Source organism: Homo sapiens, chromosome 16 (assembly GCF_000001405.40).
Source record: "Homo sapiens chromosome 16, GRCh38.p14 Primary Assembly".
In the NCBI taxonomy this organism is placed as follows: domain Eukaryota; kingdom Metazoa; phylum Chordata; class Mammalia; order Primates; family Hominidae; genus Homo; species Homo sapiens.
The window spans coordinates 87,228,005-87,247,033 of NC_000016.10; the positions used below are offsets into that span (position 1 = coordinate 87,228,005).

The 19,029-nt window shown below is 47.0% G+C and overlaps 3 annotated features.

The window, feature by feature from the left end:
* Positions 7,899-8,599: an enhancer, noted in NCBI's record as "H3K4me1 hESC enhancer chr16:87269509-87270209 (GRCh37/hg19 assembly coordinates)". NCBI's record gives its function as "activates a minimal SCP1, AML or CMV promoter by ChIP-STARR-seq in naive H9 embryonic stem cells {active_cell/tissue: H9 hESC(naive)}" and the evidence as "EXISTENCE:reporter gene assay evidence [ECO:0000049][PMID:30033119]".
* Positions 8,600-9,299: an enhancer, noted in NCBI's record as "H3K4me1 hESC enhancer chr16:87270210-87270909 (GRCh37/hg19 assembly coordinates)". NCBI's record gives its function as "activates a minimal SCP1, AML or CMV promoter by ChIP-STARR-seq in naive H9 embryonic stem cells {active_cell/tissue: H9 hESC(naive)}" and the evidence as "EXISTENCE:reporter gene assay evidence [ECO:0000049][PMID:30033119]".
* Positions 14,243-14,744: an enhancer, noted in NCBI's record as "H3K4me1 hESC enhancer chr16:87275853-87276354 (GRCh37/hg19 assembly coordinates)". NCBI's record gives its function as "activates a minimal SCP1, AML or CMV promoter by ChIP-STARR-seq in naive H9 embryonic stem cells {active_cell/tissue: H9 hESC(naive)}" and the evidence as "EXISTENCE:reporter gene assay evidence [ECO:0000049][PMID:30033119]".

A 19,029-nucleotide genomic window follows, 5' to 3' on the forward strand; every position in this document is an offset into this window, starting at 1 on the left:
ACCTTGACCAAGTAGAAAATCAAGTCAAAAGAGTTGATTTTCCTATTTGACACCTAGGGCTTTTTCCAAAAGGAAAACTGAATGGTGCAGAATTTCTGGAGGCTGGTAGCATATTCTCTTTTGTTCCCAAAGTGCAATGTCTAAACCCCTGTCTTAAAATAACAATAGCAACATGAGTAGGAATGAAAGACGTTCCCATTACTTGAGCAGCTACTATACAGAGAGACTGCCCTGCAGGTGATATTCAAAATACTCAATAACCACACGCAGTAGCAGATCAGAACTTACTGGAACTGGTCTCAGCAGCCCTCTCCCCGGCTATGCCAGGCGTTACCCCCTTAATTGCTGGATTATGAGGACATCTGGAGGGGAGACACTGGGGAATGGCTGCTGCAAAAGGAAGGCCCAGGACCTCAGGGCAGAGGTTATTTTCAAACAAGTGTGGTAAAATCCAATCTTTTCGCCACAGTCATGGTAAGATGCCTTGCATCTGAGTGTCTGCCCCAGGGTAAAGCACCTGGGCAAGATGATCGCCAAACACCCCAAATGACTCCACCCACCCTGTACACAGGAGCCCCTGGCCACCCATCGAAAGTTGAGATTGCACCCCTGCCCTTGACTCTGGGCTGGGCCTGCTTGGCCAATGGAACGCAGAGGAAGCGACCTTTGGGTCTTCCACGGCAGGTATTAAAAGGACCTGGCAGTGTCGCTTCCTCTCTCGGAGAGTCAGGCAAGAAATCCAGGTCATGCCATTGGAGGGAACAGCCACATGGATTATCCCTAGAGAGAGAGGCCACTCCTGCCACAGCCACAGCCACCACCTCACGGCAATCTCATGAGAGACCCCAAGACAGACAGTGGGAGAACCACCAGCCAAGCCCCACTGGCTCACAGAATCACGAGACACAATTCAAGGTTGTCGTTATAAGCCTTTGTGTTTTGGGATGGCTTGTCGCCCAGCACAGAGGGCCAGACAGCACCTGACATACGTCCCCTTCTTTACCATCACATCTGTGAGGTGGACATCATGATACCCATTTTACAGACTCCAAATAATGATGTTGTCCAAAACCACACTAAATACTCGAGACCAGCCTAACCAGTACCGTGGACCCCTAAAACATCCTAATTTACAGACAAACCCACAAGTTCCCTCGGACCCTCACTGTCAGACCCTCCACTCTTTATCAGATCTTCAGAAAGCACCAGCTGTGTCTCAGGATTTCTGCGTGTGGTCTTGTCAACCTTCTTCTGCCCATTAGGGCTTCTTGGACCCATGTGAGCTGGCCCCGAATTGTCAGAAGAACTGAGGAACCCACTGCTGTCGCCCACTGTAGCCTCCGCTATCAATGCCTCCAGCCCTTGGGGAGCGTCACTCTACTCACCCCCTGGGCCTCCTCCCAGCAAAGCTCTTCCTGCCCCCACCGTGCGCCAATTCTGGGCACATTCAGCTCCTGGGAGGCTTCTCAAGATGACATTGCCATTCCCGGACCTCCACCCAGCCCAAGTGGAAGAGCAGCCATGCAGTCAGCCGAGCCCATTCTTCACGCCTTACAGATGCACTCCACACTCTGCAGGCTTCCTCTGAGAAACCAAGGCATTGTATAATACAGGAGCTTTATTCCTGTCGGTGCTAATGGAATTGGGGTGGGGGAAATGCTCATTTTTTTCTGCTGCGAAGTACTTTTCCATATTTCTCTGTCTTTGTTATGAAATCTCCCCAGTGATATTAGCTAATTATTCAAAATAAAATTTCCCACTCCAGCTGAATTCCTCCCACCAGAGGGTCAAGTGTTTTTATTCCTGCTGTGCAGTGGTTAGTCACTGGCCCAGCTCTCCCCTCGGCCCTCATCAGGGTGATGGATGCCCAGCGTGAACAATGACAGGCAGGAGAGAAGGAGGGGAGCGTGCACGCCCCCATCCATCCTGTTTCTGCTGGCTCCATTCCCCTGCCTCCCTGTCCTTGCCCTTCAAGACTCTGCTCAGCTTCCCCTTCTTCCAGGAAGCCCTCAGGGAGCTCTCTCCCATCTCCATCCAATGAAGATACCTTAAGATACCGCTCATATAGCCCTAACCTCCTGTCTCTAATCTAATCTTTCTAAGTTTTGTTTTCTCAGCTATTTCCTAAGCTCCAAAATCCCATACCTCATGTTTTTCTTGTAGACAGTATCAGCGTCATCACAATTCAGCGGCTGCCCTGTGTTCAGACACTCGGCCCTGTGCTTCATGTGGGTTGCCTCATTTCATAATAGATACAACGATGTCCCCAGTCTGCAGAAGATGAGGCTCCAAAAAGGTGAGCCACAAGGTGTAGCTGGGTTGTGAGCTCAGGTAGCCCAAGTTCAGAGCCTGTGTCACTAACTATATTAGTAATTAACCTATGGCCTTTATTGAGCATCACAAATCAGAAGGAGAAAAAGTGAAAGAGCACATTTTATTGCAAATGGGCAATAAAGAAAAAGATAATGGTTTGGTGGTAATACTGAACACTGGACAAGATATACAAAGACAGGCCCTCTACTGCATTGCTTGTGGTGGTCACCACTTATACAAACATCCTAGTATTTGCTTGGATGGCATAGTACAGGTATCCTAAAATTAGCCCAAAGGTTTTACTCAATAATTCCTGCTGCGGAATAGCCCCTAAGGAAACGAGCACAATGTGGATAAAGATTTATACACAAGGCTGTTCTTGCAGCATGACTTCCAATAGCAAATACTTGGAAACAATCTCAATGAACAGCAATACGTATGACATGTGGAAATCTGGCTGGTGTTTACTTTCTTCTTTCCTTTTCTGTACTTTCCAAATTCCTTCAAAATGCATGTACTTCTTACATGATCGGAGGAAAACTCAACCACATTTTTAAGGCTGGGCAGGGACATAGCCCACTTCATTAGCATCAGAGAGGACAATTTTATGGAGGACATTCTGGCAGCACATGTTCCAACAGAACAATTCTCCTTCTAAGACCACATTTGACACAAATCCTCACAAAAATGCACCAAGGTATATGTGCAAGGACATTCACTGAAGCACGACTTGTAATAGCAAAAGGCTCAAATCAATCTAAAAGTTTACCCAAAGGGAATGGTGAAATAAATCATGGTACATCCATACAAAGGCATACGGTGAAGTTAAAAAGAAAGAAATGCAGCTAGAACATGAAGGATTGGCCATGACATTGCTCAGAGAAAAAGCCACATTGCAGATCCATGTGTGTAGTATAATCCTATTTGTGTAAAAAAAGTATAAAGGTATGTGATTGTTTATACAGACATTAGAAAGTCTAGAAGGATTTACATCAAACTCTTAGACAGTGGTTACCTGAAAGGGAAACTAACTGGAAGAATTAGACACTTTAATGTTTTACTTTGCTTTTATATTGTTTGAATCATTTCCAAGAGCGGTACTGCTTTAGGCAAGTAAACAAGTCCTTTATTTACTTTTTCTTATGGAAAAATTCAAATACATGCAACCATACAAACAGCAATGTAACAAACCCCAGTGTGCCTCTCCCCAGCTTCCAGCCTTGCCAGTGATCAACTCCTGTCCAATCCTGTTTCACCCCTACGCTATCCACCCAGATTACGGTGCCACTGTCACACTCAAACATAACAGTAGTTTCTTAATGCTATCAAGTTTCTAGGCAGTGTTCTAATTTCCAGTCCCTCGTAACATTATGAATTATTTTTAACAGTTCAAATCAGAATCCAAATAAAGGCCCCAAGTTATAATAGCTTGATATGACTTTTAAGTCTTTTTCTTACATGGATTATTCATTCTCTCTCTCTCTGTGAGTTTGTGTGTGTGTGTGTGCATGTATCTGTGTGTGTGTATATATATATGTGTGTATATATATACGTGTATATATGTGTGTGTATATATATGTGTGTGTATATATATGTATATATATGTGTGTATATATGTGTGTGTATATATATATATATATATATATATATTTGGAGAGAGAGAGAAGTGTTAAAGAAACCAGGACATTTGTCCAACAGGGTCTCCCCATAGTCTAAGTGCAGCTGGCTGCATCATCATAGTGTCATTTAACTTGTGCTTCTGTCCTTCATGTTTCCTGAAAATTGGTGGTTGGATCAGGAGGCCCAGTTAGGTTCAGGGCTGAGGTTTTGGGCAAGGTTGCTTCATGAGCCATGGTGTGCTTTGCCATCAAGAGTCTCTGGTCTCTTGTGTCGTGATGCTAGCAGTGTTGATGCTCCATGCTAAGCCACTGGTTTATTCTGGAGATGTGTTAAACATCACTCCCATGCACTGTTCAGCATGAAACCAGGGTCTCTTCACTGAGCAAAGGCTGACACAGCAGGTGCATGTGGTGCTGTAATCACCTTGGTGGCCACTCTTATCAACTTGAGGTCTTTGCTCTTAAGTCCCTTCAGCTTGATCAGACAGCCCCCAAGAGTGTGGGGTGGCACATACACAACATCGTCAGTGTGCCTCTTGCTAATCACTCGACCTGTCTGAGCCTCCATAACACAGAACAACACCCTCTCCTTGCACTTACCCTATGAAAGTGCTTTGGAAACTGAAGGCTGAAGCACAGTGGGGAAGTGTGGAAGGAAGGTCTTATTTACACAGGTGTTTCACTCCTCACACTGAGGCAACCCAGTTGAATGGATAAGCTTGCAGACCCTCAAGCAAAATGGGAGACCACCTGGGCTCTAATGGGGACTTCCTCGCTTTTTGGTTGTATAACCCAGGGCAAGTTATTCACCCTCTCTGTGCCTCAGTTTCCCTGCTGTTAAATGGCAATAACAAGATCAGCGACGTCACAGAGGGGTAGCAAGAATTGGATTAGGTAATGTGCATAAATTGCTTAGGACAAGACCAGCACATCACGCGCTGGCTTCCATTACATGACCTTTGACGGTTTCACCTACAAATGAATCCCAGTGAGCACAAGAAGGACTAGCAACCATGCAACTTCTTGCATGGTGATTTAAGAAGTGCTTTGTTCTGGAATCAGCCATCATGGTGGTCCTGCTTCCTAGCTTTGCTGCCTTAGACAAGTTACTTCACCTCTCCCAGCCTCAGCTTTTGCATGGGTAAAGTGACTAAGCCTCAGGGAGATACTGCAAAAACTGAACAACCTAAAGTATGTTATGCTAACAGCTAACATTTACGGGAGGAGGAGCACTTTGCTCCACTCTGTTCTGTGCTTCCTCTGTTACCCCACCTAAGGTTGCCAGCACTATGCCAAGGAGGCAGGACTCTACCCACTCCACAAACCTTTATCTGCAAACTCTGGGGCCAGACGTGTTTCAGAGTTTAGAGTGTGGGGACTTTAGAAGTCAATAAGGTACACCTTAACACCTCACCAGAGCCTGGAGAAGCACCTGTAATCAAGCGCATTAATAGTTCTTCAGGAAGACATATGAACATCCCTCACTAATTGGGATAAACAAAGATCTAAATAGATTCATATCAGCTCAGGTCAAGTTTTGCCACCGAATTAGTTTGAGACAAACCTACAACAACTGTTTTCCTGTACTGATCTTTTGAGATTTGGGCCCTGCAGATGAAAGCATGTGGACCAGCAGTGTAAGCATCAGAGAGACCACACATGGGGTGCAGGGGGCAACAGGGTGACTCACCCCATCAGGACCTGTTGACATCTGGGCTTTCTCACAAATGAGAATCCTGGGACCCCAGGCTGGGATAATCCTTTGGACTGTGGGCACGGCTGGGCAGTAATGGAGTTCAGGAAGGCTGAGGCAAGGATGGGGACACGTTTACCACCCTTGGCCCCTTCATCCATGCCCTCATTGTCAGCTGGAGGTGCTGTGGGCTCCAGGAACCCTGAAGCTCCCTGGGGTCCAGGGAGGAGCAAGACTATGTTAGGGACATGCAGTGGCCTCTCCTGTCTTGTCACCCAGCATCTAGGCATGACCCCACCTCTTGATATAAACCACTTCTCTCTCCCTTCTCCAAGTCCGTTTTCTTGTAGGGGCCGCCATATTCGCCTGTGACTCTGCCTCCATGGATCACAGTTGATTGGTCCAGTGGACACATGACCCACATGATCCACTCAGAGTCTTCCTCTGAGATTTTTCACAGGGTTGGGAGCAGGAGCCGTCCCTCCCATGCAAGGCCAGCAGAAGCCGGCAGATGCGTGGTTCCGGTGCAGTCACTTCTGCCCCCATGTGGAAGAAGCTGTTTTGGAGACAGAACTGAGTTGGCGAGCAGAGAGAAATGGGTGTGAGAGAGACAGAGGTTTTTCATGCTCTCTAGTTGAACTGTCACAGAGACCCAGGTCCACTCCTGCCCTCTCCGCGGTCTGGAGTTCTATCAAGCTGGAGTGGAAATAGGGTGTGAGGGAAGAAAAGGTCCTAGCAGCTGGCTGCAAGCCGCTCTCTCACTTGTAAATGAGAGCGGTGCTGGAAAGCAAGCTCCTGCTTCTGTATTTGTTCAGGCCATGGAGGGAGCACCTCCTACCCCAAACCCACCCAACACCTGTTGAGAAACACTGACCCCATTGCACAGTTTGGATTTACACGGACTCTGTATAACACCTTGTAAAGAAAGCCACTGGTGCAGAAGATTAAAGAATGCCATTAAGTAAGTTGTTTTATTTCTTCTGAGACCGAAGGAAGGCTGAAAAAGTGCAAGGACATGTCGCTGAGTTATTTACTCTGTTACCAGGGACTGTGCATTGCCTCCCAAAAGCACGCCAGCTGGGTCACCATGGTCGTTTATAAGGTGTGAATGTGGAGGGGGGGCCAGCGCCATCCTGGGGGGAAGCTTGGAGCAGTCACGTGGATCTAAATGGAAAGTTAGTGCCAGTAAAAGCTCCTGGGGCCGGCCTGGCGTCCTGGCCCTGGCAGGACACTGAAGGAGGTCTGCACAGCTCCATGAGTGCCCACAAGTCCCTGGGTGGAATGCCTGTCAAGACCCTGCCCATTTGGGCTGCTGTGTCCCTTTATGAAGTTCTGCAAATCCTTTTCTGGAGCTCAGGGTGAATGGAGCCCCTTTCGCTCCCAGCTGCCTAGGAGCATGGGAGCGGGGAGGGTTTCACACCGGGGCTGAAGACAGCTCGTGCTACACGTGAGGCTGTCTGGGTTTCTGGCCTCCTTCTGGCCTGCTCCCTGAGCAGCTGGCTTGAGGGAGCACAGGGGTCTTGGAAAAGTACCCTAGGGTTGCAGGGGACAGATGCGGACTTGTAGAGGACAGATTTGGACTTGAATTGGCTTGGGCCAAGGAGAAGGCTTTGCTGTAAGGGGACCCAGAAAGCTCACGAGACCCTCAGGCAGACAGAGGCCTTCAGGAAGTGAGGCAGGCACGGTCTGTCTGTCTGTCTGTCTGCCACCCTCTGCTTGACCACTCACCTCTGTGTCCCGTGTTCTTGGGTGTGTATCTCCTGCCTCTCTCCCACTCCAGACCCTCTTTCTGGGGTCGTGAGTACACATAGTGGAATATGAACGCTGCATGGCCCCCAAATGATGTGCCACCATTCAGGTCACCCCCAGAGAGCAGCGTCTCTGAATCCCAAATTTCTAAGTGAGAGAATTTGTTGGCCAACCTGGAGTCAAATGTCTATCCCCAGCCTGACTAATAATGGCCAAGGGGGTCACACAAAATGTCACTGTCTGCTCCTTTTCTCCTCCTAGAGCCACTGCTCATCCTGTCAGTCGACGAATACACTGAGCACCTACAACATGCCAGGCAGGGTGCTAGAGGGGGACCTGAGGCCTGGAAGGAGGAAGGAAGGAGGCCTGGCCTTTGCCCTTGGGATGTTGCTATCCCAGTGAGAGGGGCAGATACAGAGGCAGTAGTCACAGATGAAATCCCAGCCTCTGGAAGCCCCATGAGAGAAAGGTGCCCGACGCCAAGAACTTGTGGTGCAGATGGGGGTGGGATGACCCGGGAGTTAAAATCAAAACACTGCATAGACATTAACCAGGCAGGTGAAGGAGAAAGAGCCTCCAGGCAGAGGACAGAGCACAGACCAAGGCCCTGCCCTTGACCCTAGGCTGGGCCTGCTTGGCCAACAGCATGCAGTATACAGGGTGGGGAAGGCCGGTGGGCAGCAGCCCCTGGATGGGCAAGGCAGGTATGGGGGCAGCCGGGGAGACTGGGTTGGGGCGGAGGGCTGGCAGTGCTGTGAAGACCACGGGAAGGAAGTTAGCCCTTACCGCAGCGACCACAGGCAGCCACTGGGAGGCTGCAAAAGAGAAGCAACTCAGGCATGCAGGGGCCTCCAGGAGCTGCCGGTTTTCAGGTCCCCTGGAAGGCGAGCCCAACTGGGTCCATCGAGTTCAGCTTCACTCCCCATGCCTCCACGCTCAGTGCTCTCCACCCAGGAACTCCATTCCAGAGGATCTGAGACCTGCCTTGCCCTGTGGTCCTGCCTCTGGCTCTCCCATTTTTGGTCTGGGCAGCTGGCGCCATAGAGAAATGTCTCATGCTTAGCCACCTCCCCTACTGGATGCTAACATCCCCTGCACTCTACAGGGAAACACGGGGCCTGACTTGGCACAGGGACCATACGCAGAGGCCGGCGAGCTCCAGGTAAACCTGTGCCGCCCCTCCCTCTGCCTGGGGAGAGATCTGCATCCTTAAGTCTTCAGAGGAAGACCACGTGAAGACAATGGCAATGACGGTACACTTGGCGGGTACTGCCACACTGCGCATTGGCAAGGACTGGCCCGGCCTCACCCCGGGCATCAGAGCTGTCATTTTACCCATCTCAGTGACAAAGAAGCAAAGGTACAGAGGGGAGGAGCCTCAGCACAGCCACGTGGCCAGGGGCAGTGCAGCTAGTTCTGAACTCACAACCAGCCTCCTGAGCCCCCATTTTAACCACATCAGCCTATGACCCCCCCACACACATCCCGAAAACACAGCCCAGTTAGGTCAGGCTGTGGGTCTGTGCATGGTGCTCTGGCTCAACATCCAGTCAAGTCCAAACTTGTGGCTGTGCTCCAGAGGAGCCTGAATGACCCAGCTGTGCTCACCCTGCCCTGGCCATGGGGCCTCTCCCCCAGGTCCCCTGGGGGCACCCTGTACCCCTGCCACCCTCCCGCTTAACACTTACAGAACACTCACATTTTCTACAAGTATTGGGGGAACCCTAATTCCCCAGGTGGCACAATGGAGCTCACTCTGCCTCTGCTCAGGGAAGGACCCCAACCTCAGAGCCGGGCAGCCACAGACCTGAGCCTCAGCCCCTCCCACACCTCCAGCTGCACCCGGGCAGGGGAGGGACCCCCAGGGGCTGGCCAGGCAGGTGCTGGGACTCTGGATCTAGCACTCTGAAGGAAGTGGGCGGGTGGGGGGGCTTCCAAAGGCTGTTTGAGAAGCCTGTCTCTTGGCAGGAGAGGTGGAGGCACTGGTGTCCAGTTATTCCTCCCTTGAGGGAAGCCCCTCTTCTTGGAAGGGAGGCACCTAACTTGAAAGACACTGACAGAAATGAGCATGAGTTTTGTGTGGGTAGCGATGCAAACGAACCTGGTTGGGAGAAAAAACAACCCCAGAGGTTATTGTTTTTTGTTTTTGTTTTTGTTTTTGTTTTGAGATGGAGTCTTGTTCTTGTTACCCAGGCTGGAATGCAGTGGTGCGATCTCTGCTCATTGCAACCTCCGCCTCCCTGGTTCAAGTGATTCTCCTGCCTCGGCCTCCTGTGTAGCTGGGATTACAGGCACCCGCCACCACGCCCGGCTAATTTTTGTATTTTTAGTAGAGACAGGGTTTCACCATGTTGGCCAGGCTGGTCTTGAACTCCTGACCTCAGGTGATCTGCCTGCCTCAGCCTCCCAAAGTGCTGGGATTACAAGCGTGAGCCACCGTGCCCGGCCAGAGGTTATTGTTTATTGCCCCATATAACATTAACTAGCTTTGTAGCTAATCTTATCACACAGTAATCCAAAAGCCTTTCCCGATGGAATCTATAAACCCCTGTTCCTGAATGCACCTTGCCATCTTACTGTTTCCAGTCCTGCCATCACATCATCTCCCTGACCAATGAGTTAGTCCATCAGTCTCTGGCATGTTTTTATTTTCTAATTGTGTGGAGTCATGGTTTTAATTGTAACACTATACTTTAACAAATATCATCACGGATGGCTTCCTAAGGAAAATCTACATTCAGCTGGGCTGGGACAGACGACTTAGACACCTGAGTAGGGCGGGTATGCCAGGCAGAGGCAGGACTCCAGTCTCCACCAGCAGAGCCACACCCATGCCAGTCATTCCGTTCCACTTGGCTGGTGCTGGTCGTAGTCAGCTTGAATTGCCACAACAAAATACCATGGCTTGGGTGACTTCAACAGGAATTATTTCTCATAGTTCTGGAGACTGTAGAGTCCAAGATCAAGGTGCCAGCAGATTTGGCTCCTGATGAGGGCTTTCTGCCTGACCTGCAGAAAGCTACCTTCTCCCTGTGACCTCCCCAGACAGACAAAGATTAAGTGTTGGTCTTGTCCTTGTGATATAAGGAAACTAATCCCATGATTAGCGTATCTTATAAGGCCCCGCCCTCATAATCTCATCTAAGCCTAATCGCCTCCCAAAGGCCCCAGCTCCTAATACCATCGCACTGGGGTCAGGGCTTCAACGCAGGAACTTGGGGCTCGTAACAGAGCCTGCATCTTGAATGTTACTATTAGGCAGAATAATATTGGATGGAAAGATAGATTCACAGGAATGGATAAGGTGGGTTTTTTTTTTTTTGGTTTTGGTTTTGGTTTTTGTGAGACAAAGTCTCGCTCTGTCACCCAGGCTAGAGTGCAGTGGTGTGATCTCTGCTAACTGCAACCTCCACCTCCCAGGTTCAAGCAATTCTCCTGCCTCAGCCTCCCAAGTACCTGGGATTACAGGCACACACCACCATGCCTGGCTAATTATTTTGTGTTTTTAGTAGAGATGAAGTTTCACCATGTTGGCCAGCCTGGTCTCAAACTACTGACCTCAAGTGATCCGCCTGCCTTGGCTTCCCAAAGTGCTGGGATTGCAGGCAAGAGCACAGTGCCGGGCCTGGATGAGGTGTTTTTAAGGAAAGCCGATGAATTTATCTGGCTTCAATGGGAGAAACCGTATAGTTGGAGATTAGGCTGGAAGAATTTGTGAGGAATAAATAAATTAAAGAACCTCTAAACAGTGGAATATTCTGTATTCCAGAATGAGTAGCTTTGTCTGTGCTGATACAGAGAAAGCTCTAAGATATATTAAATATATTTTATAACTAACAATACTCAGGATCCGTTGTTAACATTTTTTAAAAGTATTGAAAAAAATGGTACAAGTAGAATGATATTATTTATGTATTAAACTATGTAAGTACAGATGTAAACATAAATATGATTTTATACATCAGAAATTTTCTAGAGAGAACAATGGAAAATTGCCCCAAACCTGGCCTGGGAAAGAACTGATGTCATTCACAACTTCCTTCTGGGAAGAAATGGGTGTTTGTATGAAATGCATTAAGTTGATTTTCAGATAAACTTCAAGTCAACCCTCAGTCAAGAATAAATGATTATTAACCAGTTATTCTTTTTTCTTGTGTCCAGGCTGAGATTTCAGAAGTGAGGGAGCCTTTTACTCTTCATTTCATGTGGTTTCATAATCTTTAAGTTTTGCCATTGCCAGTATTATTTTAACAAATGTATTTGAGGATCAAACACATATCACGTCCAGGTTGTGGAGAAGCTTAAATGCCATGCGAAGAATCTGAAATTATCATGCAAGGAGGAGGGGACAATGGAAGGTTTTGAGCCAGCAAATTCCTGAGCAAAAGTGTCATTTTTTACCTGGAACGAGTGACTTCCCTCCCACCCCCCTTGCCTGCCTGTGTTCTCCTAAGCTTCTCCTAAAATGAGGTTTGGAAACTGCGGTTCTTTCAACTGAATACTCAGAATAGATTTAAACAGAAAATGACTGTGAAGAAAAATTATAAAACAGTTTGAAGTGGGCAAAAAAAAGGTTATTGGATATCAATTGGAATGATTTCTCAATTAATATCAATTAATTTTATTAATTTTGTTGATTCGGATAATATTCGATCAAGTATCAAAGGATTCTTCAATCAATTAATTTTATTTATTCCAATGATATCGAATCAAGTATCGGTGGATATTTCAATCAGTTAATTTTATTGATTCCAGTGATATGAATTGGAATGCTGAGAATTGTCTAGCAAGCCCTGCGGGGTCATCTGGTTCTGCAGAGCTGTGCGCTGCTGGAGCAGGCTGGTCAGCCACTCTGGACATTATAGAACACAGAGAGTAACACGCATGAGTCTCACCCCTAGGAATCCAAATTACGTCTGCCCTATGGAGATACAATTAATTCACCCTGTAGAAAACTTGGTTCCAAGCATTACATCTTCAGCCCTAGAGGCATAAACTAGGTGTGTGCCTATTCAGGAATTCATTTTGGTTCTTCCTGATTTCCTCATGCCTGTGCTTCACATCCTTTGAGTCAGCTTTCATGTGTCAATCACTTATAAATGATGTATGTAAAATCTCTTAAATGTGTCCATTTGATACTTGCATAAGAGCCTTGATTTTACCTTTTGAAAGCTGTATAGTTTAGCATGGCCAAACCAGACCAGAAGAAATGAGGCAATAGCTCTGTTCCACAGTTATCGTCTATCGAGAGAGGAATTCAAGATGACCAGAATTTAGGGTCTGACTCATTTATGATCCAGCGTGTCAGGAAGCCGGTACCGGGAAAGACAGATGTGATCTGGAAACAGTTGAGGAGTCAGTTGGGCATGGAGTGGCAGGGGACTGCTCCAGATGTGGCAGAATGGGCTGGGGTGGGGTGAGGATGGAGGAAGAGCTGGGAACGAGAGAAAATCTGATTATCAGATGCACAAATCGCTGACAGACATGTTTCTGTAATTATAGGATTCTAAGCAGGACAGACAAAAATGAAGAGGTGAGGAGCTGGCTGTGGGGAAACTTGTTATTCTTGAATCTGAACAATGACGTGTTTTCTTGAAAGATAATCAGATAAGGAAGCAAAAGAGAGATTTGCTCTGAACTGCGCCCAAGCCCGTGATCGTGCAATATTTACATTAAATTCAAAAGTGAATGAAATGACAGGTCAGCCAACAGGAGAGTAGTTTTTGCCTGTAAAGGCACTCTTCTTACCCGGACAAATGGGCAGGCTGTGTTTTGAAAAATAATAATCCAGGACAGAATGGGGAAGGGGTGAGCTTTTGTGGAAAGATCCAGTATCCGTGGATCATTTCAGTGTTTGTGACCTCGAGAAGGAAAAGGAGGGAAGCAGTCTGGGGCGTTTTCCTGGACTTTGGACATGGGCTCTGGATATGGCGTCGGGGGCCAGTGCGCGCAGGGCTGGCCGGGGGACAGACATCCACCAGAGCTGGTGTGCTCTTGGCTCTGTTCCCGCTGGACCTCCGTGAGATTGAAAGATTTTCCTAGAGGGACAAGGGACTGAATCTTCTCCAGCTCTGCACCTCCTTTGAAGACATCAGAATAATGCTTCAGACTCAAACTCCCTGATTTTTCTTGTAAACAATGCAACCCAATTCGTTTAAAACTCTTATACGAGGAACAGAAGTTGTGTAGCATTGTGGTTAAACAAGGAGAGCTTGAAATCAGGGATCACATTCTTGCAACCTCTGCCTGTTGACATTGGGTTGGCTCAACTTTCCAAACCTTTGGTCTCTCATCTGGAAAGGGAGTGAACATCTCCCAGCATCGGGGCCAGTGAGTGGGCTGCGTGCTACCAGGCTTACCTGGAGCTCTCACTCGATGGCACTTACTCCAACACTATGGTGATCTTGATTGGTAGTAACGGTATTAAGGCAAAATGCAAAAGTTCAATCTGATTGTTGCACCAGGATAGTAGGAGATTATTGATAATTATTTCTTCAAATCTGTCTTGAATTTTATTGCTTTGCTGTCTTTTCAGTTGTAAAATAAAATAAAACTTGGATTCAACAGGAAGGGTAGGAATAATGATTTCTAGAACATTAAAATAATAGCACATAATACTTACTACATGCCGGCCATGGCTCCATTCACCTCTCACAATAAATCTACGTGGCAGGGGCTCTCATGATCCCCATTTCACAGAAGGGGAAGCCACAACCCAGAAGGACAAATGAACCTGCCAGGAGGAGACGGTGAGCAATTGGAACAAATGCCCAAGGGTCTGGCGCCGGGAATGGAAGGTCCCTTTGGTAAAGTACACATCAGTAAATAGAGACAGGGTAGATGGAACACTACACAGATGGAGACCTCTGGGTCACGAACAGGCCCTTCTGCACACCAGGTCTGAATGACTGCCTCTGAGCTGATTTAGACCCCCCACACTCCACAAAGATACCCAAGAGGCCTCTGGTTCCTGCACCTCCCAACTTGCCTTAAGACCAAATCTGTTCTGGTGGCCAGAAACCAACTCCCTCTCCCGTGGCACAGAAGAACTTCCAGCTTCCTTTATTAAGAAAGATTAAATGTCTTGTGAATATAGCAGTGCCCTGGCTGAGCTAGCGATGTGTCCACTGTGGACGCAGTGAAAGACAGATTTCACCCTGGACAGACAGCTTGTCTCCTGCCCAGGGACAGTCCGAGCCAGCCACCAGGCAGGGGACCAATTAATTCATGAAGTCAGCTTGCGAGGCCCTCGCTAGCGAAGGCAGAAACTGTGCACATGGTTTTCCATTTATTCAGGAGGCAGCGGCAATGCCCAACAAGACAAACCAGCCGATTTGGTTGAGGTTGCCATCAATAGTGAGTGCCCCAGGTGCTGTCCAGGCAATGCTCACAGCCTCACAGGCTCCTGCCCCACTGGGGGCTTGGGAAGAGTTCAGCAGCGTCTGGAGGTCTGTGCATGAAGACATCCCCACAAGGCTGTGTTTGGGCACAAAAACTACACTTCTGTTTTGAGCTTCGGAACGCCTGGGCTCGGCTCAGCCAAGCTAACAGAAAGACCTTTCATTAGGCTCTCAGGAGATATTTCCAAAAAAAAAAAAAAAAAAAAAAGGAAAGGAAAGTAGAGCCTTTCAAAGAAGAAAGTTCAGTGCTCAGCAAAAAAACAGTTTTTTTAGAATAAAAATTTAATCAATTTTTGTGGTTTCAATAAAAGCAAAGGATTTTGTGGTTTTCCCTCAAATTTTTCACCATTTTCCATAAAAACAAAAGCCAATATTTGAAACCATTTTTCCCCCAATGAAAGTGGCAACGTTTCTGCCCAGGGACAGTTTCTTGGAGAAGTATCTTTGCAAGCTTCCAGGCTTGGGATCGCTGTGTTGGGGCCTGAGAATACATGGGGTTATTTCACCTGCAGCCAAGTGTGTGCACCTCGGATCACAGAAATGTGATTCAGTTGGGAAATTCCACATGATGAGAAAAGATCACTTTTCTTTCAAGAGGTATAAAAAGTAGGCCATTTTACTTTCTAGGGAGCAGGACACAAAGGTCTGAAGGCGGTCGCTGCTATATGGGGGTTGTGTCCTCAGCAAGTCTGTTTGCAGAGAACAACAACAACAAAAAGCTCCCTTCTGATGCTCATTATAGACCCATGCATAGAATCGTCCTATTTGAGATCTCAAAGGAGCGTGGTTGAACTTTCTTATTTTGCATATGAAGAAGCTGAGGCTCACAGCGGCTGCAGGGCTGACCCTACGACACAAAGATGATCCGCAGAGCTGCCACTCAAATCAAGGCCTCTTTGCCCACAGAGTTTTTTTGCTTCCCCGTCTCCTGAGCCCTCTCTTAGTAAAGCTTGTTTTTATCAACTCTTAATTCCTGGAACAAACATCATCTACACTTTTGGCAGCAAATTTTAACGTTTCTTGACTACCTAGGTCAAGAAATGACTACCTAGGTCAAGAAATGACTACCTAGGTCAACAACTTTCAGCCTCTTGCATTTGAACTTTAGCAAAAGATTCTGAACTGCCACAAAAATATTCCTTTCACACTGGGAGCGAGAAGGTTCCAGGAACTATTGAGGGCTCTCAATTGGTGAAGCAACCCAAGACTATCACCCTCTTCTGGATTTTTGCTTCCCTGCATTTAATGTCAAGAGCAACATTTTCCTACTTTTACTCTTTGCTTTGGCTGCTAGGAAGCGCAAAGCTAAATTTTGTCTTTAATTGCTATAGCTTTCCTCAGTTTGTTTTGTTTTGTTTTGTTTTGTTGTTGTTTTTTTTTTTGTTTTTGTGACAGAGTCTTGCTCTTGTCACCCAGGCTGGAGTGCAATGGCGCGATCTCAGCTCACTGCAACCTCCACCTCCCAGGTTCAAGCAATTCTCCTGCCTCAGCCTCCGAAGTAGCTGGGATTACAGATGCACGCCACCACGCTGGGCTAATTTTTGTATTTTTAGTAGAGACAGGGTTTCACCATGTTAGCCAGGCTGGTCTCAAACTCCTGACCTCATGATCCACCCGCCTCAGCCTCCCAAAGTGCTGGGATTACAGGCATGAGCCACCGCACCCAGCCTCCTCAGTCTAGATGTTTTAATGTAGTTTCTGTCTTTGCCACTTTACTCTCTTCTCACTTGCCTTTTATTCTGGGTTAATGCTTTTTATGCCTTGTATTTTTAAGTAAAACATTTTCATTTTTTTCTGAAAATGGATAAAGAATAAATATGAAAAATAAATACTTGTTATCTCAGATCTCAAACCAAAATAAGTGACAAAATCCCTCAATTCTAGATAGCCAAATGCAAGGAAAACTCAAAAGTAATTACAAAAAGAACTCCCCCATGCACACACACATAAAAAAGCTGGCAAAAGAAATCCAATATGTTCGTTAATGGCCAGTCCTTTAGAAAATCACAAAGTTGTCATCGTAAACCTCCTGTCTTACTCTGGTGGTTAACCACCACACAAAGGCAGCAAAGCACATCTCTAATTCTTAACCTTGAGCCTGTGTACACTTTATCCCTCTGCGCTCAGGATGTCAGCACTGGAAAACCCCTGAGCACCAACTCCAGCTCCACCATTTCTCAGATGAGGAGCCTAAGCCCCAGAGAGGGCAAGCAACTTCTCAACGGCCACACAGCTTGGAAGCTGCGAAGCTGAGGGTTCTTTCTCGAGTATCATGCCCTCCTTCTTCAACGTGCCTGATTCCACCAAACCATGTGAGAGACTCAGGAATTTAAATCACTGACATGAGTAGTTTTGTTTTTGTTTTTTCAGGCCAACCTAAAAGGTAAAAGGAAAAAGACTGCTTCTACTGGCTGGTCCATGACAATACCCAAACTTGTGCTTTCTCTCTCTCTCTCTCTCCGTATGTGCGTGTGTGTGTGTGTGTGTGTGTGTAAAATCTTTATAACTAAACTATAGGAAATTGTTGCTAAAACAAGCTGTGACACCTTCAGTTAACATTTTTTATTGGATAAATGCTCAACAAGAGTCTACCCAGCACCACGGAGGTGGAGAGCAGTAAACAAAACAGAGAATTGTGGGACCCCCAGGGAGCTCACAGGTCAACCCCAGGAAGCTTACGTCTGAGGAAAAAAAAACACCGTGCCCAACCGAATGTCTCCACATAAACTCTAAACTCTGCTTGATGTGGACTGGAGAGAGAAACCCCCAGCCCCTCAATGAAACCAATTTCTTTTTTAACACAGAGAAAGGAAAGCTTGGCTTTCCATTAGCGGTTGTTTCTGTAAGGTGAATTAAAACAATGTGATCATTTAAACTTTCCCCCACGAAATATGCGGTATCAGAGGAATGTCCGTTCACAGCTGGGAAAGCTTGGACGGGCTGCATTCGCACGCTCCACACCCCTGGGTCTCTGCTGAATCCTGCCTTAGTGTCTGCTGAAAACTTAGCGTCAAATAAAATGGCTTCCCGGAAACCTGCGACCCACAAAGACAGGCTTGGGATCCAGAACATTAGTTTTCTGTGTGTTCGTGGAAAATGATTGATTTAAATATGCCGAGAACGTCTTAGTGGTAAAAGTGAGTGGATTTTTTTTTTTTAAGGAAAATTTTATTGGGAATATTTTTTCCCCTTAGGTGTGAAATTTGGCAGGTAACTGCATTCTCTGATGGACTGTTGAAGACTCGGTTAATTAGAAATAAGATTCAGGTCCAAGGTAAACATCTTGAGCCTGCTAAGTCTTCTTAGGATGTTTGTCTGAAATGCTTCTGAAAATAGTATAGCTTTCTATAAAGAAATCTTAACCGATGTTCATCAGTGGAGTTGACTATGTTCTAACCCAGCCCTTACCAAATTGGTATTAGATGAGGGATTAGTCTCTGATTTTATGTGAAAATCCCAAGAGGAAAAGCAGCTCCAACCACGGCTTTCATATCCATTTTTCAGAAATAAGGCCTAAAGGCTCAGCAACTGCACCTCTTTAATCAAAGCAGTGGGAGACTGTTCAACCAGCTCCCCGGTGGCTCGGTTCCGAAAATCAGGGCAGCTAATTGCCCACTGTTTGTTGACACAATCGATCGTGCAGACAGGAGACAAACAGCAAGACATCCACAGAATTTCCGTAGGTTGAGATACTCAATGCTTATCTGTGCATCACGCAGCCGGGGCCCCCTCTGCTTTGGAATGGTCTCATCGGCTCTGTCCAGTTTCCCACAGTCCTTCTCTCTATCTTCCAAGTCTGTGAGGAACACACAGTGAGGGTGGCACCCCTGGATTTGGGGGAACCATGCCTCAAGCAGCCCTAGATCCTTCTGCCCTGGACACAAAGGAAGCCGCTTAGTCTTTTCTGAGCACCCTCCCAGGGCTGGGTACCAGGAAGTACGTTCCCTCCATTTTCAGAAGGATGAGGCAAGGTGCAGGAAAGCTGAGCAAATTGCTCTCCCATCCATGACCAGGTGAAACGGGGATTGAACCCAGCAGTTTTGACTTCAGAGCCCTGCTCGCTCCACCCTCCAACAGTGGGCCCATTGTCCTCATAGGAACAGACTCACTGAAGCATTTATTGAACAACCAAGAGTCCTAGCCGTCATGGAGGATATGAGGAAACAAAGCCCTCAGCCCTAACCTGCTGAAAACAAGCCCAGGAAAGGTGGGATGGATATACAAGTCAACATGCAAGTAGACATTTTAGGAAAAT